This window comes from Homo sapiens, chromosome 1, assembly GCF_000001405.40.
Source record: "Homo sapiens chromosome 1, GRCh38.p14 Primary Assembly".
NCBI classification, from domain to species: Eukaryota; Metazoa; Chordata; class Mammalia; order Primates; family Hominidae; genus Homo; species Homo sapiens.
The window spans coordinates 16752962-16777420 of NC_000001.11; the positions used below are offsets into that span (position 1 = coordinate 16752962).

The following is a 24459-nucleotide window of genomic DNA, read 5'->3' on the forward strand; positions in this document are numbered from 1 at the left end:
GCGTCTGTCCCTAGCTTCTGTACAGAATTTAATGGGTAGCTGTTACTATTTTATTGCTGTATAAAAATGAGGAAACTGATAAGTTGTCTAAAGGTGCACAATCAAAACACATCAAAGCCATTGTGAAATACAGGTCCCCGGATTTCAAAAACAGATCTTCTGCTTATAAATTCAGTCTTTTTCATACTGCCATAAACTCCAGAATGGGAAAACAAAGTTACTATCAGAAAAGCTTCTTTTAGCTGGGCGTGGTGGCTCATGCCTGTAATCGCAGCATATTGGGAGGCCAAGACAGGCGGATCACTTGAGGTCGGGAGTTCGAGACCAGCCTGGCCAACATGGTGATCTCTACTAAAAATACAAAAATTAGCTGGGCATGGTGGCGGACACCTGTAATTCCAGCTACTTGGGAGGCTGAGGCAGTAGAATCGCTTGAGCTGGGGAGGCCGAGATGGCGTAGTGATCCGAGATGGCGCCACTGCACTCCAGCCTGGGTGACAGAGTGAGCCGACATCGCGCCACTGCACTCCAGCCTGGGTGACAGAGTGAGACTCCATCTCAAAAGAAAAAAGAAAGCTTATTTTTTCCCCTAATCACCATAATATTCACTATTAAGTGAGGGAAATAGAAATAATTTATTTAGCAAATCCTTTCTAGTTCAAATAATTTGTATACAGGCTGTGCAAACATAATAATGAGATTCTTTTTAGTCATCTTGCTTTATATCACTAATTACACTCTTATTTAATGATATTTTAAAGAAAAACGTGTTTATTTTCAAGTAGAAAACTCATATCTGTCCACCAAGGAAAGCTGTAACAAATGTAAAATACATAAAAAAGATAACTGCTAAATTTCTAAAGCATTCCAGAAAAAGACAAATAGAAGGGTGTCAGATTAGGAAAGTATGTCTTGTAAGGTGTAACGGACAGACTGATGAGCTTAGAGATGTGGATCTCAAAGTGGTTCTCAGAGCAACAGCATCAGGGTCACCTGGGAACGTGTTAGAAATGCAGATTCTCAGGTACCATCCCACATTTAATGAATCAGAAGCTCAGAGTAGAGACCAGCAATTTGTTTTAACAAGTCCTTCAGGGATTCTGATACAGCTGATGTTTGAGAAACACTAGCTTTAGGTAAACGTAAGAGGGTCACGTTAGTATTTTTAAATCATTGGAAGTTGGTTTGTTTTGTTTTTTCTTAAGTGGGACTCATTTATACTTCAATACACAGAATGGATATTTAGAGGAAGTCGTTTTTGACCTAACACGGATGAGCATTTCCAATTGAATAGCGCTTTCTGATAATGGGGCTGCCCACTACAAGTGAATAACTGGGTTTCTCTAGGCTGGAGCTGCAGACAGGTCACTATGTGTATGGAGGATTGTATTAATATGATCGTGGCTCTTTATAGCTCTGCATTACTAATATTCTGTTTTAAAGTCTCTCCTCAATATCCAATGTCTCTGTGTGAATGATGGTAAGGAGTGGGTAACAGTAACAATCATCCTGTTGTTGACAACAGATGATAAGAGAAAGCCCAACTTTACACTCTGTATAACCTTACACCAATGCCCCATTCCTCGTCTAATTTTTTTTACATGTTAACACATGACCTTGGCATTACTAAATAAGAAGCCCTCTCACTTAGAACCCGATGCAGTATGATAAAAATTATTTTGAGAACAATCAGGAGCTCTAGTTTTCAATTCTGCTTCTCTTCTCAAGTAGTTCTGTGCCTTAGTTTCTTCTTTGTAAATTTAAATGGTTGGAACAGAGGATCTGTTAAGTGTGATTCAAGCTGAAATTGTATGTAGCCCACACTGAGTTTCTCTGCTATACCCCTAACCCATTCAACAATCACACCACCAGTTTTCAGGACTCACAGTAGGATAGCCGTCTATCATTTGTTAATAGGTGTGCTCTTTCATCCAAACAAGAAACTCATGATTTCTGCAGTTTTTTATTCTAGCCAGGTTCTAGGTGCTGGCCTGGAACTATAAAACGAACATTTCACAAAAAGTTATGACAATATACAAAGGAAAGACAATTTCTTTGAATATCCATAATCTCAATATGCAGTCTGGCTGTGGATGGCCAAGAGATAGTTTCCTTAACTGGAAAAAGCTTTTAAATGAGGCTTGGTGGAAGATATATCTTTGCATCATTACAAAGAAGAAAAAAGAGAAATCTCACAACTGAAGAAAGTGAAATCCACTTTACTTAATGCGGACCTCTGTCTCTGGTGTGCAGGTCCTCTGTGTCCAAAGATAATTAGCACTTTATAATGCTAATTATTATAATTAGGTCTGAGAAAAAAATCATTAGGGGGTAGGCCCGTTCACTGATTTTCAACTGCCCCCTCTATTTAAAAATAAGGTCATTTTTCTATGAAATACCTTTAGGAGCTCAAAGCAGAAAGAGGGTTATAGAAAATCCTGTGTAGGTATAAGCCTGAGTTTTTAATATTCTTATAATTCTGTGATGTGTCTGGAAACTGAACCGGGAGGAAAACAGTGAACCTATTTAGTCCAGGAGACTAGAAATCAGGACTCAGAAGAGTAAACATTTCTGTAATAGTTAGTCCTCAAATAGTCATTCATTGACCTTCCACTGGGTGTCTGGCAATGTGCAAGCTGCTTCTAGATGCTACCTCATGTAACAACCATCACAGTTGCACAGAGCAAGTACTAGTACTCCACTTTCATAGATAAAGAAGTAAAATCTTAGAAATTAGCTGCCCAATGTCATGTATGTAGGAAAGGAAAGCTGGATTCTGATTCATATTTGCTGGCTCCAAAGCACTTGTTGTAAATACTTCACTATCCTGTGCTTACATGTAAATGTACCATTTCTCTTAGGGGTCTTGAAATACTGAACCAAAGAATGGTGTAGGGGAAGGGCAGTTTAGAAATACCTGGAAATTTGGTTGTTTGAAGGAAGCCCACTCTCAGATGGTAGGAGATCAAGCTAACAGAATAGCTGAGAATATTTTCTGAGGCCCCAGAAGTATAAAAACGGTCTAGGGGGGAAAATTTGGGACACAGAGTGAAAATAGCCTGCCTCTGAAGACCAGCTTCATTTCTTCCCCTCTGGGTGTTAATGAAAGAGCCTTTAACTTTGCCAGGCCTCAGTTACTAATTTCTAAAACAACTGCTGCTACTATTACTACGGATCTTACTGCTACTATGACCACCACCACCACCACATCAGTTACTGAGAACTGAACTAGATGCCAAGCAAAAATGGTAAACACTTCATATACATTATCTTTTTAAACACAAAATGTACTATTAATCCAGTTTTACATATAAGAAAACTGAGGCTCAAAGAGGCTAAGTAATTTGTATGTGAACATGCTTTACACTATGTAAAACACCTTATTAGTAGATATCACTATTATTAAGAACCTATCAGCCGGAGAGGAAGAATTGGCCTTTTATCTTTCTAAGATGCACAGTTGTCTTTCTGTTTAATGGTTTTTTAAAAATCCCCCTGTGACAAGCTCCAGAGGACAAATAATTTGTTTCTTGTGGTGTATGGCTCTCTAAATGAATTAATTGATAGGCATCCCATTGTCAGTCTCAGGGATGTGGAAATAAAACAGACATGAGATGTTTTTTACCAAACTAATTTGTGCTTTAAACACATAAATAATAAATATATATATATTAAAGTAAATGTGTATTTACCGTCTCTCCTGCTCCACTTTGAATTCAAGAACCCGTGTCTTTGTTGGGTCACTGCACTGTCAATTGAGAAGTTTGGTTTTGTTTCTTTGAGTGTTAGTAAGTGGCATTAAATGGTAAATATTGCCGGGGGAAAGAAAGGAGAAAAACAGCTCTTCCAATCCATCCCTGTTTCCATTCAATTAAAGGAGGGTAGAAAGAATACTTAAGATAATTGTAATAAGTCTAATAGAATAGCAGGAGCCACTCTTTTCCTTTCAGTAGGCCATTAGCTCAGAACTATTTTCAGAGTAATACTAAGATGATATTTGCCTTTTCACTGTGTTGGCACTTGTATTGATAAGGCAAAAACAGTGGAGTCTTAGCAAAAATTAAGACCATGAAAACAAACTGCACTAGGAATAATTCTCTTCTTCATTACTGTTTACTTGCAGGGGGAAAAACCATTTTCGTTTAAGAAAGTCCTTGGTGAAGTAGTAAAAATATTAATTTTATTAAATCTCAACCTTGAGTACAAGTCTTGTCCTTGACTGTACTTACAAGTTTTGTCCTCCCCAAAGCATATGGCGTCAAGGCTGGGCCTAACCCAGTCTCATGACCTTGTGAATCCAGTCCACAAACACAGAGACACGCGTGAAGACGGCTGGCCAGCGCGACCTTGTGCATACTCGGTTGGGGATTCTAATTCCTTTCAGGACCCAGCAGTTGTGGGTAAAGCAGGCAAGTGGGCCCCCGTAGTCACCCTGGCAGGTAGGAGAACTGATGAGGGCCCCGGGCCACAGCAATGACTAGCCTGCTTCATGATAAAATAGTTCATTTCTAGCCCCCCATACCCTTCCAGGGCTGGCCCAGGGCCCTGCCACCAACCTCACAGGCCCCCACAGGGGCCAACAGTCCCTCAGTGCACATCTCGCTCTCCCGCACATGTCCTCGGTGCTTGATGTTACACTCCTGGTTGGAGATGACGTTCAGCAAGGCCACATTTAGGACTGTGTCATTACCCGTACCTGCAGTGAGGGGAATGGGGAGAAGGAGACGGTCCTGGAGGAAGATCCAGGGCTGGGCCTCCTGGCCACCAGCAGTCCTGTGCACTATGCTCTTACCTTTGGTCTCACCCCAGCCTGCAATCTCACACTTGGTCCCTGGAGGCACCACATACCATTCAGGCGGCAGGCAGATCAGGGCCACACGCTGGTTCAGGGTCACAGATCTTTAACAAGAATGGGGGCACTCAGGGTCTGAGGCCACAAGGCTCAGCCCCACCTCACATCCTCCCAGGTTGTCCACATACCTCTCCAGCTTGAGCAGGACAAGCTGGGAGCCTGAGGGCCCACACAGCATCTTGGCTACTGGGACCCGCTGTAGGCCTGGCTCTCCATGTTGTGGGTTCTGGAACAGGGTGCCCAACCATACCTCATAGCCCGTGAGAGGCATATGGCTGGGAGAGAAGCTCTGCTAGGTCATTTGTGACTCTCAGTCCGTTGCCCCAAGGCTCACTTGTTAGCTTGCCTGGGGAAAGGGGAAAGTGGGATGAGACTGGGTCCCCAAACACAAGGGAGGCTCACCAGGAGGAGAAGCACTGCCGGGCAGTCAGTATCCACTGCTCCTTTACTAGAGACCCCGCGCAGAAATGCTGGCCCTGCCTAGAGGAGTGGGGAATTAGGACAGGGAACAGACTCCTGGGACAGATGCTAGACCTGCCATCTTCTGGCTAGGACCTCTGGGGGCAGGGATAGATTCCCAGCCCCCAGTGGCATAACCACAGAGGACACAACCTCAGCTCCTCTCTGTGGGAGACAGGCAGTTGTGCCTCACCGATTCCGCAAGCTGACTGTCCAGGGTGAGTTGCCCGGATGGCCCCCAGCCACGCGCAGCTTGGAACGACGCTGATCCAGCCGATCCACCCTCTTGCCACACTTCTCAAACTGCACCTGGTCTGTAGGATGGGGTGGGCTGGATGAAACCCAGACTGTGTGGATGTCGTGGGCTAAAGGGCCTGACCCATAACTGGCCCAACTCGTAACCTGGGGGGGTCCAGGATTGATGGCGGCTGGTCATCAGCTGAAAGACAAAGTTCACTGGGGTTAAGGGAGCCAGCCTTTGGTGGTGAGGGCTGAGGTAAGGTCATGGGGCAAGCGTCACTAGTGCTCACCGCAGCGTCGCAGGGCACAGTAGTCGAATGGGGTCCTTGGGTCCATCGTGTAGCACCAGGGCCCATGGCTATCCCCATCTGGGTCTGGCAGAAGTTCTCCTCCAGTTGTGCATGCGGTTCGGAGGTAAATGTGAACCGAGGCGGGAGCGGGAGCAAAATCGTGGCAGGGTAGTCTCAACCATTTCCAGGCTCTGGTCCCAGACATCAAAGCATGCCGCCCCAGGGTTAGGGCCCTGGCGGGGCCGGGAGCACCAGGGACTCACTGCAGCTTGTGCGGCGTCTCAGCGGACCAGCGCTGGCACTGGACACCCTTGCGGGTCTTGCTGACCGTGCCGCGGTACTGCTCCCCCGCGCCGTGGTAGCAGTCTGCGGCCGGTGCGGGCAGCCATCAGGCCGAGACCTCGCCCCGGCCCTCCGGTTCCAGGCTTCCAGCCCCGGCTCTGTAGCCCCCAAGCTTGGGCCTCACCCTGGGGCCGCACGTCGTCTGTACAACGCCGGATCTGGTAGCAAAAGCCCACGCGCGTGCCGGGCCGCAGGGTGAAGCACCAGGGCGCCTCTGAGCCGTCGAGGTTCCAGCAGAAGTTCTCCCGAAGGTCTCTAAGCAGGCGCTCCACTCAGCCCTAGCCCGCCAGCCTCCAGCCCTAAGCCCGTGACTACCCTCCTCCCGTCTCACCCGCAGCAGCACGTCCCAACGCCCGCCCCCCCGCCCACCTCACTTGCACGCGTATTTTTCTGGCGTAAATCGGTGCTGATGTGGGATTTGCGCGTCCCAACGCTGGCAAGGTACGCCGCGGTGGTGGTATTGGCTGTGCCCCGGTAGCCCTCACCCTTCCCGCGGAAGCAGCTGACACTTGTGGCCTCTTGGCGGGGCTGTGCCTCGGACCCTTAGATGGACCGAGATAGGTCGGGCCCCGAGCGACAGCTGAGATCCCTCTGGGGCTGGGACCAAACCCGCCTTTCCCAGGTGTACGGTACTCCACGGGATATGCTCTCAGGTCACGCCCAGCCCCTCTGACCTCCCCGGCCAAGCCACGCCCCTCCCCAAGGTTCCCAGGTACCCTCCCAGGCCTGGTCCCCGCCGCCTACCGCAGCGGGGGAGGTCACAGAACTCTCGCTCGATCTGCGGATCCGTAGTGTAGCACCATGGCCGCTCGGAGCCGTCAGGATTCCGGCAATAGTTGTCGTCCAGACCTTGGTCGAGGAACCTGGGGGCGGTAATGGGGCGTGAAGAAGACCCTGGTACTCTGGCTTATCTGGCCCCGCCCAGTTGCCCTACACGGAGCCCTGCCCCTGGAGTCCTGGACCTTCCCTAGCCCGGCCCCCAGGGCGCCGATACCGCCTACGCGTACTTGCCCGGCTCGAAGGGGTGCTGGTGCGGGTGCTGAAGATCCCAGCGCTGGCACTCGCGCCCTGACTCGGTGCGGTCTACCGCGCCGCGGTATTCCTCGCCATTGCACCAGACACACGCGGCTGGAGACAAAGAGCCAGTGGGTTCGTGGATGGGCGTGGGCTTGCCCCTCCACTCTCCCAGCTTGACCCGGCGCCGCTTACCCACCCGGCAGGATTTGATGCTGCAGCTCTGGAAGCGCACGGCAGGGTCTGTTGTGTGGCACCAAGGACCTCCGGGGTCGCCATCAGGGTTACGGCAGAAGTTCTCTTCCAGGCCATTCCGGAGCGTGGGCATGTACCTGAGGGCCCAGAGCATCACTATAGTGTGTGCTGGGGGAAGGTCCCAGGCCGGGACGGAGGGAAGGTGTTTGTCTCACTTGTGATCGTTCGGGAACTTGTGGCTCCAAGCCTGGCAGGACAGGCCACCCACGGTCGTGGCCATGGTGCCCCGGTACCCAACCCCATTGTTCATGATGCAGGTCCGTATGTAGTCTGGGAGCAAGAGACAGAAGATCAACTTGGGCTGAGGTCCCCTGTCTCCCACCCTGCCCCTCTCCACCCCCACTCGCCTTTCTCCTGGAAGAGGTCACAGCGCCCAGAATGCCACAGCCTTGAGTGGGGCGAGTGTTGAGTCCATGGCAGCAGTTGGCAACCATGGCTGCTCACATTGTAGTGGAACGCCCTGGAGAGAAGAAGGCACAGGGTAACGCCACGGCCCAGGCTCCCCTGCCCCCAGTCTTATCTAGGCCCAGTGGCCACTCACCAGCAGTCCATTAAGGGCCCACAGCGACCAGCACACTCTTCAGCATCTGCCACATCCTCCTGCCAAGGCCCGGGCACCACCGCATGTAGCAGGTGCTGTAGCTCTGTGCCCCGGAGCACCTGGAAGTCATTCGATGGCGAGCGCTGCCCTGCAGAGTGGGCATGAGTGGGTGCAGGTCAGGTGGGCATACATGTCAGTAATGTGTATTGGCATGTCCACACTTTGTTCATTCAGGGGATCAAAGCTACAAGGCTTCTGGGATGGACCCTGTATGCACTTTCAAGGGCCAGTCTAGCCCCCCTGCACAGATACTTGTCAAAAAAATTTCCCCTGGGAAGCAGGCCCAGACTTGGTAGTTATCACCGGTGCCTCTGTGTAGTGGCCCAGGCACTGGGCTCAGATCTAACACATACGCTCTGTGAGAGCAGTGGGTGATGGAGCTTGCCCCATCTCATCTCTCAAATGAGAATGCTAAGGCTCAGAGCCATCACATTACCCAGCCAGGGGCCCTGGCTAGGCATTCAGACTCCAAATCTGGGCTCTCACCTGCACAAAGGCATACGCTAGGTTAGAGGGGTAGATCAGGCTCAGGAGGGGTCATTTCCTGCTGTGTGCGTGCATCTGTGTGGTCCTAACACTGCTTCAGTGCTAGAGCAGACGTGCTAATAGAGGCCTAAGTGGGCCGTGTCTGTGTGTTCCTAGGGCTTCCCAGCTGTGCTCAAGAGGCCAAGGTCACTGCCCCATGCCCACTGAGCCTCTGGCTCCCCGACTTTTTTCTCATCCCAGAATAGGAGAATAGGGCCAACCCCCTCCTGAAGGCAGATGGGGATCAGGGTTGGGGGCACTCACCAGGGACCCCTAAGTATTGAGTCAGAAGCAGCAGGAGTGGGAGCCACTCCTCCAGGATGACTTCATCTTAACTAATTATATGACTATGTTGACTGCAACATATGTATGAAGTTTCATATACTCAATTCCTTTACTGCTTCCTTGAGCCTATGAACCCCCTCCTGCATCTCCTAGTCTTCACTGAACATTATGTCAATTCTCAGCCTCAGCTCTAAATGCTCATGGTTTCCAAAAACATATTTACAACCCACCATAGGTCCTGAGCACCAAAGCCTGATGTCCAGTTGCCCAGTGGACAGACATCTCCACTGGGACATCTCATAAGCACTAAAAATCTCAATGTACTGAAACCTGAATTTATATTTCTCTCCCCAAATGTGCTCCATTTCCATCTTCCCTTTCTCAACATCCATCCAGTGGAAATGTTGCTCAAACCCAAGTCCAGAGCCACCCTTGGCACGCTCATCTTCCTGAGCCCCCCACTTCCATCGGCCACCCAGGTGCTTGTCAGTTTGCCCACTTTCTCCCTCTCCACAGCCCTTTTCCTAGTTCAGACCTTCTGTCTCCCTTGTTGGGATCATGTCAACCTCTTCCTCACTCGCCTCTGGCTCTGGGCTTGTGCCTTCAACCGACTCTTCAAACCGTAGCAAGAGGGATGCCTCGAATCACAGATCAGATCCCTCTCTCCTTAAAGCCCTGCAGCAGCTTCCTGTGGCTCTCAGGATAGAATTCAAACACTTCCAGGATCTGGGCATCTCCTGCCCCTCCACAGCCCTGCCTCGCCCTGCATTCCAGCCCCACCAAACCACAGTCAGTCCCTTCCATGGTTTTGGATCTCTTGTCTGGGAACTTTGCACCTGCTGTTCTCTCTGCTTAAACTCTCGCTTTCACCCATGCGACCTGGTTCACTCCTCATTCTCCTGCATGTCTCAGCTTGGAAGTCACCTCTTCCAGAAAGCCTTCCCTGACCCTCAGGTCCAGGTTAGATCCCCCACCTGGATTCCCACAGCACCGTGTTTTTCCCCTACCACAACCCTAGTCATGCCCTTTAGCGAACAGCCAACAGTTACTAAGCACCTGCTGTGTTAGGCTGTTTCTTAGGACTTTATAAGAAAGATCACATTTAATCCTACGAAGTAGGTACTGCTATTATCCTATTTTTTAGATGAACAAACTGAGGCAAGAGCAGTCACACACACATAGAGTCAGTAAGTGGTAAAGTTGGGATAGAAACCAAGACAATCTGACTCATGGATGTTACACCGTGTGTTAGAACTAGCCTTGAAAAAAAGACACAAGCTTGTGCCCTGTGCCAAGAAAGTTTCTGATAATGGTGGCGGTGGTGGTGGTGGTGGGATTTAATCAGTTGGCAGAAGTCTGTATTTCTAACAATCTCTGATTCAAATGGGCAGGACCCATGTCCATTTCTCTTTATTGCAATTGTACTATGTTTCTTACCTTCACTCTGCAACAAGCTTGGTGAAGACAGAGAACATGTATCTGAGGCCCTTCATCTCCCCTCAGTTCCTAGACCAGCACTAGCCCATAGTCAACCCTCCATCAAAGTAGAGGGAGAAAGTAAGTGGCTTTTACCCTGTGCTTTCTGAACTCCTGGGATGCTAGGAAGAGCCAGAAAACCTTGTCCACCGAACCCACAAATTCACTCTCTTCATCCCTTCCTCACTCCACTTCCTTCCCAGTAGTTGTTGGAGTTTTTGAATTTTCCCTCTGTGAGCCCTTGCCCTCCCCTGCCATGTTCTCAGCAAAGGCCCTGGCCTCCAGGTCCATGAGAACAGGATTCCCTGTAGTAAGAGCTCTTCCCTAGCCTCCTCCACTTCCAAAGGGGCTGGAATCTTCACCCCTTGATCCCTTCCCTTTTTAGAGCACAGAGGAAGCGGAGCCCTCCTCCTGCCCTGGGCTCCCATGCCCCACATGTTCCTGGAGAGCACCCTTGGGCCACTGTTGTAACTACATGGTGACTTGCTTGCTCTCATCCTTCATGACCCCCCCTCCTCCCATGCCCCACTTTGTTAATTTCACTCTCCTCTCAAAACTCCCCACAGTGCCAGTGATGGGGTATAAATGCAGCTGGGCAACGAGGCTCCCACAGACAGACCCAAACCTATCTTCCAAGTGTTAATTTCTTTTCTCTCCTCTTCTTCAAATAGGTCTCTTCCTTACACATTTCTGCCATTCCTTTCTCTCTCTGCCTTGCCTCTCCCTTTTCTCCCGGCCACAGCCTTATCCAACCTCCCAGCCCAGCTTGGACTCAGCTTTCCTAGGAGGCTCCCAGACAATCCAGTGGGCTCTCATTTTTTTGAGTGTATTCAGCAGTTGGCTGATGCTGCATCTCCAGCACTTGCCCTAGGTTGTTTTATCTCCCTAATGGCCTGTAAACCCCTTGAGGGCAGGATCTGGCCTTTGTACTCTAAAAAGGTCTTCCTACTAGAGAATGCTCCACACATGTGTGATGCTTCGGGGAGTCCCAACCTTCATCAGAGATTCCCACTGGTGCCAGCTCATAGCTCATCATGACGTGTCCCAGATGGTGACTGGGAGTAGCCTATGCCAAGCAGGAGTTTTTCCCCGAAGTCTTCCTGTTTATTGCACCGGGCTGGCTGCAAGACATTGAGGATGCTGCCCCAGGGGCCAGCAGGGTGACTGGGGCAGGCGCCATGATGGCTGTGCCTGGGTGCTGGCCAGTGTGGCCCCAAGAAGAGGCCGGGAGCCAGAGCTGCATGCCCTCTGTCAGCACCAGCCTCCTAAAAACACTCTCGACTTTCTCCAAGCATGGATTGCCTGAGCTCCCCTCCTGCTCCCCAAAGAGGCCGGGGAACAAGTCAGACAGGGGATAAGTCAGACAGGCTCAGCTGTGGGAGGCTGGAGGAAAAAGACCAATAAAACTGACTTTATTTGTAATGTTCCCATGTTTGTGATTTTGTTATTTCTACTCTGTTTCCTCAGAGCAATGAAACAAGGAAACGGAACAAAAAATAACAAAACCCAGCTCTAAGTATACGTGAACTGTAAGGCCTCCCTCTGGCCTCCTCTCTTCCTCCTTCCTCACCAGGTTTGCCTGGCTGACCCTTCCAGCCAGTGAATTCCTTTCCCAGGTTGAGTGTTTTCCATTTTAATTTTTGTGGCATTTCCCTGGATTAATGGTTAACGCATTCATTTTCTCCCCTCCAGCCTCCATTATCAAAGAGTGCTTTGAATAACCATTAACTCTCTGGTTAAGCGAAAGAAACACGTTAATCATCTACAAGTCCTGGGGCAGGAAAATTATTCTTGGTAACCTTCTCCCAATGGCAAGAAAACCACTGTCCCTGAGCAGCTCAACTTCAGCCACACCTGGGTCTACAAGCTTGCAAAACCCCTCCGGTAACCTTGTTACAAGGACTTGGTAAACTGAGGTCATAAACTGCTGAATGGCTAAGCGCTGTGCTTTTCAACCCAGCCACCACCGGTTCTCTAGGACCCTATAAAGAGACAAGGCTGGGCTGCTGCTTCTCCCTTTACTTTTAAAAATTGTTTTGCCAGTAAAGTCTCATCTATTGTACATTCCTTGTTACGGGGAAACTCAAGTGGCTGTACAGGCTGTTCTTGGAGCCACAGTTAAAAGCGCTTTGACTCAAACACACATGTGGCGTCATCCTGAGCTCCGTTTGCGTGGGGCCGGAACACCGGACTAGGAAACCTCTCCCTGCTTTAGCAACTGAGTGTGGCTAGATTGAGGGACCACAGGGGGTGGCTCTGGATGCAGCAATCCAAGTCCCCTTTTCAGGGAGGGTGACCTCTTTCCGAAGTTCAGTGGATGGCCCCCTTCCAGGGTTAGGGAGACAGGAGGAGGAGGAAGAAGAAAAGGAGGAGGAAAGCTCTCAACAGCCCCCCACCCCCAACCCATCCAGGAGAGAAGGACTGCAGTCCCCGAGACCAGCTGGAGGAGTGGCGTGTGCATGGTGTGCCCTCAGGGTAGAGCGCGCCATCTTGGAGAGATGCCTCTTTCATTCACAAAGCGGATCTGTTGCAGAGCCCAGAGCCCCGGGGAGAGCAGGGCGGCGTCCAAGTGCTTGCTGGGTTTGGCTTGCACTCCCTCTCCCTTAAAGAAGACAGAGGCGGAAGGGAGAGGCTGTTCTTCGGAGGCGAGCCTCAGGCACTGCTAGACTTAGTAGGAAAGATATTGCTGGGGTCTTGGCAAGCCGTAGGTGCAGCGCTCCCCATCGTCATTCCGGTGCGGCTGGTTACTGTCACCCTGCCTCCTCCCCGCCGGCCTGAGAGCCTCTCTGTTCCAGATCCAAACATTTCCACATTAGGCAGCCTGCATGTGCATTTCCCTGGCAGTGGAGGGAAAGGCACCCCTGTGACCTGGGATGACCGACGACGGGGACTTGCCCTCCTCCCCCACAGGTGCACTTGCTCTTTTCTGGGCCAGCCTTGTGATCTGGTGTCCGGGCACTTGGCAGCATTTAGCAAATGTTCCTCAGTGCTCTGTTTGGTAGTTAATGCTGTTGACACGGACACCTTTGGGAGCACGTGGGAGAAGCTGCTGCCTCCGTTTCCCCCGGGTTACAGCGCCTGGCGCAGTCTGTTGTCCCCTCAGAAGTGGTGGGCGACATTATCTCCTTTTTCATCCCTAGCCCTCTCCCTTGAAGCTGTCCTGATCTCTCTTTTGGACCCAGGAACGTGAGCAGAGGTTACTACTCACTATATATACACACTGCATCTAGACTCATGCATGCCTTCTTGGTGTCAAGGACACCTCACATTTCAAAGACTTCATGAAAAAGAACGTGAGGTATCTCACACGGTGACATGATAAAGCTTTGGACAACGTGGGTTAAGCTAAAAACAGGTCATTACAATTAATTGTATCTCTGTCTTTTGACCCTTCAGTGGCTCCTGAAATCCATCACACATGTGGCTTGCAAGTATTTTGGTCGGACAACGCTGCCGTAGATTGTCCCACTCTGAAATGGTTCCCTCTGGGCTTACGGGACTGCTATAGAAGGGTCCTAAGGTCCTGTGCCTCCCTGCTTTTCAAGTGGCTGCAAACTTCTGTGCCTACCGCTTCCTCCACTGGATGTTTCCTTCCTGCCCTCCTCCCTGAGGACCTCCTAGTCCCTCTTCAGGATGCAGAGCTGGAGCCTCCACTCCAGGAAAGCCACTCATGTTGTTGCCAACACAACCCCCTGCACACATGCAGTATTAGGCATTGGTCTGCCTGGCTGTCCCTGGGCTGTGCTGTCCTTGAGGGCAGTTTTTGTGTCTAATTCCCAGAGAGTGCAAGAACACAAGCATGCTCATCCAGACGTTAGTAAGCTGCCCTAAGGGGTGGAGCAGTCAGATTCCGGTTTTATTTATTTTTCCCCTGCAAGGAGCAATCAATTATTAACCGAAGTCACGATACTTTGGTTGCTGTTATCAGCACATGAAAATATCAGTCAAGGCTGGGTTTCAGACCCGCCTGGCACTATTCAAAGGAAATTTTTTAGTAATTCTTATTTTATTAAGAGCACTAGTATATTCAGATCAAGTAAAACTTCACATATAACAGGTTCACTCTTCTATATGAAATGTTTGTGGGAAATCTATCATGCATCAGGTGCTCTCAAAAGGTGGTGAGGTGTAAATGTCAGCCTCAAAGGCTGCAGTGTCCAACATGGCACACAGCTTGTGTGGCTCTTAGCACCTGAAGCATGCCTCGTCCACAGTGAGATGTGCCGAAAATGTAATATACATCCAGATTTTGAAGACTTGGTAAAATATCTCACCAGCAATTTTTTATATTGATTACATGAGGAAGTGATAATGTTTTGGGTTGGTTAAGTTAAACGTATTATTAAAATTCATCTCACCTGTTTCTTTTTAAAAGTGGCTTCTAGAGAATTTTAAATAACATGTAGTTCACATTATATTTCTATGAGACAGTGCTGCTCTAAGGCGATTATGCTTTGTTTGTTTTGAGACACTCACAGGTGTATGTGAGCATTTCAACCGGGTTTATAACAGCTTAGGAAACTGGGAACTTTGACTTGGAACTTTCCCGCCAAGTGACAAAACATCCGTCCAGTGATAGAAGTTTTAATTCTACTTCCTCCAGCTAGATCTTGCCTGGAGGACCCACGTTGACTTACTCTCTCCAGAAACGGCCCCACTGGCTCTCTGGGGGAACTCCTGGGTTCTGCAGGGACTTGCTAGGTAGTAATTACAGGTGTGTAGAGACCCTCCTGCTTCATACGCTCAGTCATCATTATTTACTTTTACCAGGCACCAGGGGCGTGATGAGAGCTTAGCTGAAAGGAGAGAAGACTCAGCAAGCACATCACCTTGAAGCTGACCTGTCAGCCAGATTTCGCAGCACCTGCCTGTTCCAGCCTGAGGGGCTGCGATTCATTCCTTGGGAAAGAGAGCTGCAAATTCCCTCTCTAGGCCACAGTCCAAATCCTTGCTCTTCTCTCTCAGGTTCTGGAAGACAGAATGGAGGCATCTACAGAGCAAGGACATGTTTTCTACCTGAATTAGCTTTTCTGACACCTTGAAACCATCTCTAAGAAATTGATTTTTTAACATACACATATACAGGTAAACATTTAAATCTGTGCCATAATGTATTTGCACTTCGAGTCCCCCTGAAGTCCTAAGTCACATGCTTCTCTTCCTAGGGGTTCTGTCTGAAGCAGAGACCCCTGGATTGGAGCAGTGGGAAGAATCCTGATGAATCAGGTGTTCCTGCCTGTTTACATTAACTGGGCACCCTGCCTGCCCACCCCACATGCTGAATACTGCTGGGGAGAAGAGAAGAAACATTTATTAAAGGCAAGGAAAAATTAGAGCCTTTTCATTGAGGTCAGAAGATTTTTGAGGTTGGATCGGCTGGCCAGGTGCATGACCAATTTTCTTGGCTCCTTAGAAGCAGCAAAGTATTTGAAAAATAATGGAGCCCTTCGTCCTACAAGTAAAAGCCCATTTATATTGGGAATTTTTTAAAAAGTGCTGGCGATGGAAAATTTCCGATGAGATGCATTTCTTCCTGCCTGAATGTCTTGAATGCCTGCTGGATTTGTCTCCCTGCTAAGACACTCACACTTGCAAATCTGTGCTTTTCAAGGTGGGGAGATGAAAATAAAAAGTCTGTGACATGTATTTCTGGGAGGCCTGAAAACAGGAAGCAAATTGGAACCACAGCATGTGGGGCACGGATGCTGGATTCTGGGGGATATTTGCTTATTTGGAAAGGCTGCAAACATTCCATCCTACCCACTGCTAGGAGCTCTGCACTTTGCTAACGTCCCATGGAAACCAAGGTTCTCTTTAGGACTCGACAGGACTGGGTTATTTTTCTCAGCTTAAATTGTTTTTATATGGTTATCCTCAGTACTCTTTTCTGTTTTGGGATATTTTCATACTTTTTATTTTTTAAAAACCCCAGAATATCTTGATTTTGAAAAGGTACATTCACCCAAATAAAGTGCCCAGCGCATAGACAAGGCTGCCTCAATATTTCACGTGTCAACAGCCAATGCCCCCGGTACGTGCAGAAAAGCCTGAGAACAAGGAAGGAAGAAAAGGGTCTGGTCCTTGCTCTGCGGGTATTTAAGCATTTCTCAGCCCCCTCCTCTGACTTCTCAACTATGTTCACCTATATGGCCTCAAATGGAGAGAACTGGGGTTATAAAAGAGGATATTAGCTATGCCTGCTATAGAATGAGGAAGGCATTTCAGGATGTGCTTGGGGAGGAGATGGAATGAATGGCAAAGGGGATGTTTGTCCGTGAGGGTGGTCTGTGATCTGTGGGTGGGGGATGTCTGTGCAGCTCCCTTCATGGCCTCTCATGGCCCACACAGTAGGCAGTGTTTGCCACACACAGACCCTGGACAAAGTCACAGAGTGGTGTTGGTACCATTTCATAGGAGGGGTCCTAGGGGACATTCTAGGAAGTTCTTCATCAGCTTAGGAAGGTGCAGCCTCTGCAGTCATTAAACACAGTCTACCAGCCAGAGAAGCCCAAAAGCTGCTGCTCCTGCTGTTCTGCGTGGTGTGGGAAACTACGGCATTGGCACAACTTTGGGAGCTCTCTTTGATCTCTTGTTTGTCTGCATTTCCCATACTCTTCCAGTCACCAAGTGTCATCATTCTTCCCCAGGTTGTCTCTGTCTCCCTTCCTTTTCTGTCCCCATGACTCTTACCTGTATCCAAAACTATGGCGTTTAAGGTGAAAGAGCCAGTCTGTAGGAGCTGCTTCGAGGAAAGTCTTGCAAGACTGCCTTCTTGAACTTGGTGCTCAAACTCCCCTCTGGCTTCACAACCTGCATAGTTGCCTGGGTCAGAAACAGGTTCCTCAGGCAACTTGGTGTTGCATTAACCAAGTGACACTGATTGTCACTTGGAAGACACTCAGTGACTGACTATTAGAGATCATCTGCCTCTCATTTTGGGGATGTGAAGGTTGAGACTCAGAGAGGTCAGGCAACATGTCTGAGGTCATTGAGCCAACTAGCAGCAGCCCCAGAGTTGTCACCCAGATTTCCCGACTCCCCATTCATTCCAGAAAACCTACCCATGGGGAATGTTCTGCCAGGCTGTTCTACATCACCAGTAGAGAGAAGTTGCCTTGAGTATTCGGTTTGGTTTTGAAGTTAACCTATTCAGACACACTTGAGCATGCAGTGAGTCACTGACTGGATTCATTCCCAGACCTATGGACTCAGCACATCAGCTCACCAAGCCTCCTGCATACTCTGCTTCTACGCTGGACAACTGTGCATTTTGAGAAGCTGGAGGAAATTGTTTGGCATACTGTTCTAGGCCAGCAGTCATGCGATACTGAGCTAGGCCTGGCTCCTATAGGCTGGTGAAAGCCAAGTGTTAACTGTTCAGGATTTTTTTGAGTTGGTTAACTATTGATAGCTTCAAAGTCGCCATGGCAGGGGTATTTATACCATAGAAATTGGTACATGTTACAAATTAGGGTTTCATTTTTCACCATCCAGAGATCTGATTTACTAACTCACTACTGATTCTGAGGTAGGACCCCAGCTTAGGAAGGCACTTTCAGGCAAGACTGTTCTGCGGTAATTAGAAAATGGAGAGTGGCCCTGTCAGATGCAAAGGAGAATATCAAATTTGGAAAAAAGTACTGCCTATTGCACAAGAGGTAAGAGTCACTGAGACATCTTGCACCAGACCCAAGTGAGGGATGGAAGGGGCCCTGATGGTCATCTTGGGACAGCTTCTTAGGGTCACCCAGGAGCCCAGGAGCCAGGTATGCCACTCCGTGGTGGGACAGAAACCCCTGTAAAGAGCAAGCAGACACTCAGTCACCCAGGACCCTCCCCAACACTCCCATTCCCTGCAATCTATCAGCGCATCCTATCAATCCCGTCTGGAGTAGATATCTGATCATGCCTTCTCTCCCTTGTGACTGCCATCACCCAAGTCCAGGTTCCTGCTACATCCTTCCTAAAAGGCCTTCCCCTGCAAGCTTGCCTACCTCACATCGACTTTCCCCACATAGCTGCAAAAGTGGACGTCTGAGAAGAAGGGGGAGGAAGAGGAGAAGAAGGAAGAGATGAAGAAGGCGAAGATGAAGAAAAAGAAGAAGAGGAGGAAGAAGAAGAAGGAGGAAGAGGGGGAAAAGAGGAGGAGATGATGTTATGTCATCCCTTCACCCTTCCCCTGCACACACACACACACACACACACACACACACACACACACAGACACACACACACACACACACACACCACGAAAACCCTTCAAGAGCTTCCCATTGTACTTAGAATAAAATCCACGCTTGAGTAAAGCTCTGCATGATTTGGCCCCTGCAAACCTCTCCAGCCTCCTCTTGCTTGGGAGCCTCTGTGCTCACAACTCTCCTGTCACCCTGGTCTTCTTCCAGGTCCTTGAATGCCGGCTAAGCTCTTTGCTGCCCCAGGACCTTCGCACCTGGTCTTCTACTGGCAGGAATACTGTTTCCTGAGTCTTCCCCTGACTGGCTCCTTCATTTCCTTTAGGTCTCAGCTTGAGTGTAACCTCACAGGGCCATTTCCTGCTCACCTGGTGAAAAGTCAGGCCTCGTCTGTTCTCTGTTTTAGCTCCTAAGTTTCTTTATGACAATTATTTCAGCCCACAGTTCTTTTATTTACTTGTCTGCTTACATTTTGTTTTAATCTTTTCTTTACTTCCCCCCACTTCAACAGATGCTCCATGGAGAAATGGGTTAACCACTGCATTGCCAGAGCCTGGCATATAGGGGTGCTCAAATAAAGACTTGATGAGTGGGCTGGGTGTGGTGGCTCACACCTGTAATCTCAGCACTTTGGGAGGCAAAGGCGGGCAGATCACCTGAGGTCAGGAGTTCGAGACCAGCCTGGACAACATGGTGAAACCCTGTCTCTACTAAAAATACAAAAGTTAGCTGGGTGTGGTGGTGAGTGCCTGTAATCCCAGCTACTCTGGGAGGCTGAGGCAGGAGAATCGCTTGAACCTGGGAGACAGGGATTGCAGTGAGCTGAGACCGCACCACTGCACTCCAGCCTGGGAGACAGAGCGAGACTCCATCTCAAAAAAAAAAAAAGTTGATGAGTGGTTCATTCTACTGCCACCACCTATGGGAAGACAGGTCAGGAATGTTGAAATGAAAGAAGTGCTTGGCTTCCTCTGAGCCCCAGCTGGACACAGGCATCTGTGATGCATCCAGATTCAGGCTGCTCATGGACTCTGAGGACTCAACGCTCCCGGAGGGCTAGCAGGGAGCTTTGCACACATACAACCAGTTCTCACCAAGCAACTGGGGATTAATAGTGCAAGGGGTTAAATGGGTTCAAACTGTTCCTCTTAAGCTCCCCAAGATGGTGAACCGCACTTCAAAGCTGCTTGAAAATTCTTACTTGGTGAGCATGCTGTTCTGTGTCCCTTTTGGGCAGAGGATTGGGAAGGCAGCCACCAAGGCCGCCTGCCGAGTGAACAGGGGGAGGGGGCACTCCAGGTGACGTGTGTGCAGAGACCCGCTCATGCCTGACCCACAGTTAGTGCACGCTCACAGTGGTTCCAGTCTTGTCCCAGCGACCCGACTGGCCTGCTTTGTTATTGGAACTAGAGCTGATGATTCACTTTAAATAGATCCTTAACCTCACAATTTGTTTTTCTTGAAACGGTCCTGAGAGGTGCTTTCCAAGAAACAAGGAAAAAACTGACTGCACAGTGGTGACTTTGAGTCTGTCTGCAGAAAGCAGTGTGAGTGGATGGTTCATTCCCATGGCAAAGCCTTTCCCTGTCACCCGGTGTCAGGGACAGTGAAAAAAACGGGCCGTAGCTTGGGAAACAGGGGTGCTCTGCAGTTGCCGTAGCAGGTCTTCAGGGAGAGCTTACGGGAACCCACGGTGTAGGGGCGGGGGAGGGGGACTGGGTGTGTTCATTTCCCGGGGATGCTGTAACAAATTACCACAAACTGGGGGCCTTAAAACAACAGAAATGTATTGTCTCACATTTCTGGAGGCTGGAAGTCTGAAATCAATGTGTCGCAGGACCACACTTCTTCCTTGCCGCTTTCTGGCTTCTGGCGCTTGCCAGCAGTCCTTGGCAGTTCTCGGCCGGCGGTTGCATCTCTCCAGTCTCTGCCTTTGCTGTCGTGTGGCCATCTTCCCTCTGTCTCTGTCTCTGTCTCCGTATTCAAATCTTTTTCTCTTTGTGAGAACACCAGTCATTGGATTTAGGGCTTGCCCTAATCCAGTAGGATCTTATTTTAACTTGATTACATCTGCAATTATATCCTATTTTCTAATAGGGTCATATTCACAGGCATCAGAGTTAGGACATCAGCATATCTTTTGGGGCTGGGGACTCAATTCAACCCACCACAGGAGAGGTCCCCTTGCTACTAGGCGGGTAGTCATATCACACGCACATGTCGTAAACATGCTGAGCAGACGAGAACCCAAAATCTCTGATTTGGGTAAGATGTGATTCCAAAATGTAGAGTGCAGAATTTACTAAAACGTTTTGAGGCTTAGAGTAAGAGACTGCTGCAGTTTAGGAAGACTTCCTCATTAAAAGATTCCAAAAGACATATTCCATGAGTCACCAGGGTAGACTGAATAATGAGCGCTCAAAGATGTCCGTGCTGTAATCCCGGGAGCCTGTGACTATGTTACCTTGCATGACAAAAGGGACTTTACAGATGTGTTTAAATTCAGGATTTGAGATGAGATGATCCTGGATTCTCTGAATGGATCTTCTAAGAATCACAAGGGTCCTTACAGGAGGGAGGCAGGAGGGTCAGAGTTAGAGAAGGAGACGTGATGGCTGAAGCAGAGATCAGAGCGCGAGGGGTTGGAGGATGGAGGGAGGATCTAGAAGAGGAAAGCAGGCAGCTTCTAGAAACTGGAACAGGCAAGGAAATAGATTTTCCCTTCAGAGCCTCTGGAAGGAGCTGACCCTGCTGGACGCTTCAATCCTAGCCCGGTGAGACTGATTTTTTTCTTCATGACAAGTCAGTTGATGTTGTTTTAAGCTCCTAAATTTGATAATTGGTTACAGCAGCAATAGGAAGCATTGCAGTCACATAGCCCAGTTTGGCATCTTGTATTATTTTAACAAACTCTCCATCAATCCACCTGTGTATCATTTTAGTCTGCTAACACCAAGAACAATATGTTGCATGTGGAAGACCTTAATAACTACTTGTTGGATGCATACTCTGAGAGCTTATTATACACTCGGTAGTATGCTAAACCCTTTGGATACATCCCTGTCCTCCTATCTATCAGTGTGGAGGAGAATTGGACATTGAACAAATAATTTTACAAATAAAACAGACATTGATTTATGTGACAAGTGCTGTCACAGAAAAACCACAGGGAGACATGACAGGGTAGAGTCGGGGAAACCTAACTTCAACGTGGGGTCAGGCAGAGCCTTCCAGGACACTCCCAGCTGAAGCCAGGACTGGACATACCCTCGCTTGGTTCCAGTTTTAAAGACAAGACACTTTGCCCAAGGAGGTGACCCGAGTTGAGCACTCGGAGCGTCCACCATCTTTTCTGAATGGTGCGAGGTTGTCTGTTGTTCATGGAGCTCGTGTGGGGTAGGCCAATCCCTGGTCTGAACTTGAGGCGGTGACACATTTTCATCTTGGTTCTGCCGTAGGTTTAGCGGGTGACCTTTGACATATCGTCTGCCCTTCCTGCATGTCGTTTGTGCTCTGGCTGACAAACAACGATCTCACCAGCCATCAGCGCTCCACAGGAATGAAAAGAGTGAGTGACCAGGACAGGGAGGGAGGAAAGAAGAAGTTGCCTTGTTGCCACGGCCTTCCTCAGATGTGCCTCCGTGCCTTGGGTCACCCCTGGGGCTACTGGCACCTTCTGAGACAGAGCCGGGGCTGAGGGCTAGATTGTCGTTCACTGGGCACCTCTGCACCGGGGAAGGGGACGGGAGCTGAGGAGGGGGCACTGAGCAAGGCAGAATCCTTATCCCCAAGCAGTTGCTGACAGGTGGAGAGACAAATGCAAACACTCAGAATGCAAACACACAGTGTCCAAAGCAGAAGCAGCAGGAGGGGCGTGGGCTCTGCCCCAGGAATTCAGGTGCACAGAAGGAGCTGGGCCTGCAGGGATACTTTGGGGTTTGGTAAATGAAGGCGGGGTCGTGCACTCTGCGGTGGACAACAAGAGAGAAGCCTCCCCACACATCAGGGTTACACGTGGCTTGGGGTATGGCTTGCCACCTTCTCCCGTTTCTCCCCACATGAGCAAGGGCGGTGTCCATTATCTCTCAAGCAATTCCTACCTCCCTGGCACTGGTAGATGCTGGACACATGGTACCTCCTCCAGCCTCACAACAACACTGTCACATCGTCACCTCCATTTCTCAGATGAAACTCAAAGAGGTGACACTTGTCCAGTGTCAGGTGGCTGTGAAGATCCCAGCACAGTCTCCTTGCATCCAAGGCCCTAGCTCTTACCACATTGTTGATCCTGGGTTGATGGTGAAGGTGTAAGCTGGGGTTCCTCCCCAGCCCCTACCTGTCGTGTGCACACCTGGCCTTCTCTGGGGGTGCATTTCCCAGCTGAGGAGACTGTCTGCGTGTGTGGCTCCGAAGGAAGCCTAGCTGGTGAGTTCAGAACAGGCCCTGTGTGTGATGTGGTGACCTGAGGTCATAGGATACAGACTGCGTCCCAGGAGCACCTGCCATTTTAGGGGTGGCTCAGGAAAGCCTCTGAGCTCCCTGGAGGAAGTTGTCCCCTCTCCACTGCTGCAAAGGAGAGTTGGTCATGGGGCCAGGCAGACACTCTCTGGACATGCTCGTGGAAGAGCTCTTTGGGAGAAAAGACACTCGAGCATGCCAACAAGGGGACTTAGGGGCCAGAATGTTCTGCCACTTGCCACTCGCCAACCTGAAATCTGCACCTCCTAATCACCTCCTCTCAGCCCTGCCTCATCAAGTGGGGTCTTGCAGGAACTGCTGGCAGCTCGGCCACCATCGGGGAAAACACCCCAGTCAAACACAGGCTCTCCTGTGCCTTGGCATAGAGGGAAGAGCCAGCCCTGCCCCCGCCCCTGCCCACTATGGTCTCAGGATTCACTCCTTGCTGAAGCCTTTACAGGGGAGCCAAATGCCCTCTCACCCAAGGCCCTTCCAAGGCCCTCCCACATCCTTTGGGTGAATCTGTTTCAGGAGCACCCATTTGAGGGAAAACTTCGTCCCCAGGAGAAATGGCAACGGAGAGGTGAAGGGGTGGAGGTACGCTTTGGAGCAGGGCCAAGGCACATGGGGGTGGGCTCCAGCCTCGAGCCTGTCCTTCTCCATGATCCTGAACATGACTCTTCTGGAACCTGGCCGGAAGTTGCCCCTCAGGAGACAGCGGGGGAAGGAAGTTGTGGTCCAGAAACTCCAGAATGCAGGGTGCCCTTCCCATTCAATCACGGAGGCTGGTCCAGGCCAAGAGCATCCTCGGCCTTTGTTTAAGCTCCCGTGAGTTCTTGGTTGACCTGGAGAGGCTGAGAGAGGCCCACAGGACCTCTTTCCTTCTGACCCTTCATTGCCTTTGGATCCAGCTCACCTCAGTGCAAGCCTGTGGCCTGCAGGGGAGGCCCTGAGGTAGAGGCACTCAGCCCTGATACCGTGAGGGACCCTTGAAAGTTTGTGCTCTTGTTTATGGTCTCAAAGACAAGAGGCCAAATTCCTCAGCTGACATTTTTACTGTCAGGACGTGCCAATGTTGTTCACTTTTTGTTTTGCTTTGCTTATGATTGTCTGGCACCTTGAGATGATGCTGAGTATGCCAGGCTATAGGATGGAGATGTGGGTGGGAGCAGGCAACAGACTGGCCCTGATCTTCCAGAGCTGATCACATTCTCTGACGTCAGCTCTCTCTGTTCATGTCCTTTGAAGGGCAATGGACTCCGTGAGGGGAGACCCGAAGTCTGTGAATGCCCAGCTTCTGAGATACCGTCAATACTGTTGACTGCATGAATGGATGAATTGCAAGTGAGTTGTTGAACACAGTGGCAAGGAGGCTCCTTACTAGCTTGGAACCCCCTCCTCCGGCAGGGAAAGTGATTACCAACCTGGAGGTCAGCCAGGCCAAGAGGGCTTTGAGATCTACAACACCAT

The 24459-nt window shown here is 49.7% G+C and overlaps 1 pseudogene across 1 annotated transcript, besides 5 other annotated features; it reads right to left on the reverse strand.

Annotated features, from left to right (window-relative positions):
* Positions 1-4158: 4158 nt before the first annotated feature.
* On the reverse strand, positions 4159-11519 carry MST1L (macrophage stimulating 1 like (pseudogene); annotated as a pseudogene). The gene is made up of 15 exons (NR_171546.1): positions 11453-11519; positions 7994-8141; positions 7790-7912; positions 7393-7529; positions 7191-7311; positions 6928-7046; positions 6515-6725; positions 6308-6438; positions 6105-6207; positions 5842-6074; positions 5505-5625; positions 4981-5127; positions 4793-4899; positions 4557-4696; positions 4159-4432 (listed from the first exon to the last, which is right to left on the reverse strand). The product of NR_171546.1 is annotated as a macrophage stimulating 1 like (pseudogene) (transcript).
* Positions 5276-6084: an enhancer, noted in NCBI's record as "H3K27ac-H3K4me1 hESC enhancer chr1:17084732-17085540 (GRCh37/hg19 assembly coordinates)". NCBI's record gives its function as "activates a minimal SCP1, AML or CMV promoter by ChIP-STARR-seq in naive and primed H9 embryonic stem cells {active_cell/tissue: H9 hESC(naive and primed)}" and the evidence as "EXISTENCE:reporter gene assay evidence [ECO:0000049][PMID:30033119]".
* Positions 12478-12978: an enhancer, noted in NCBI's record as "H3K4me1 hESC enhancer chr1:17091934-17092434 (GRCh37/hg19 assembly coordinates)". NCBI's record gives its function as "activates a minimal SCP1, AML or CMV promoter by ChIP-STARR-seq in primed H9 embryonic stem cells {active_cell/tissue: H9 hESC(primed)}" and the evidence as "EXISTENCE:reporter gene assay evidence [ECO:0000049][PMID:30033119]".
* Positions 19283-20272: an enhancer, noted in NCBI's record as "H3K27ac-H3K4me1 hESC enhancer chr1:17098739-17099728 (GRCh37/hg19 assembly coordinates)". NCBI's record gives its function as "activates a minimal SCP1, AML or CMV promoter by ChIP-STARR-seq in primed H9 embryonic stem cells {active_cell/tissue: H9 hESC(primed)}" and the evidence as "EXISTENCE:reporter gene assay evidence [ECO:0000049][PMID:30033119]".
* Positions 22239-22738: an enhancer, noted in NCBI's record as "H3K4me1 hESC enhancer chr1:17101695-17102194 (GRCh37/hg19 assembly coordinates)". NCBI's record gives its function as "activates a minimal SCP1, AML or CMV promoter by ChIP-STARR-seq in primed H9 embryonic stem cells {active_cell/tissue: H9 hESC(primed)}" and the evidence as "EXISTENCE:reporter gene assay evidence [ECO:0000049][PMID:30033119]".
* Positions 23422-23922: an enhancer, noted in NCBI's record as "H3K27ac-H3K4me1 hESC enhancer chr1:17102878-17103378 (GRCh37/hg19 assembly coordinates)". NCBI's record gives its function as "activates a minimal SCP1, AML or CMV promoter by ChIP-STARR-seq in primed H9 embryonic stem cells {active_cell/tissue: H9 hESC(primed)}" and the evidence as "EXISTENCE:reporter gene assay evidence [ECO:0000049][PMID:30033119]".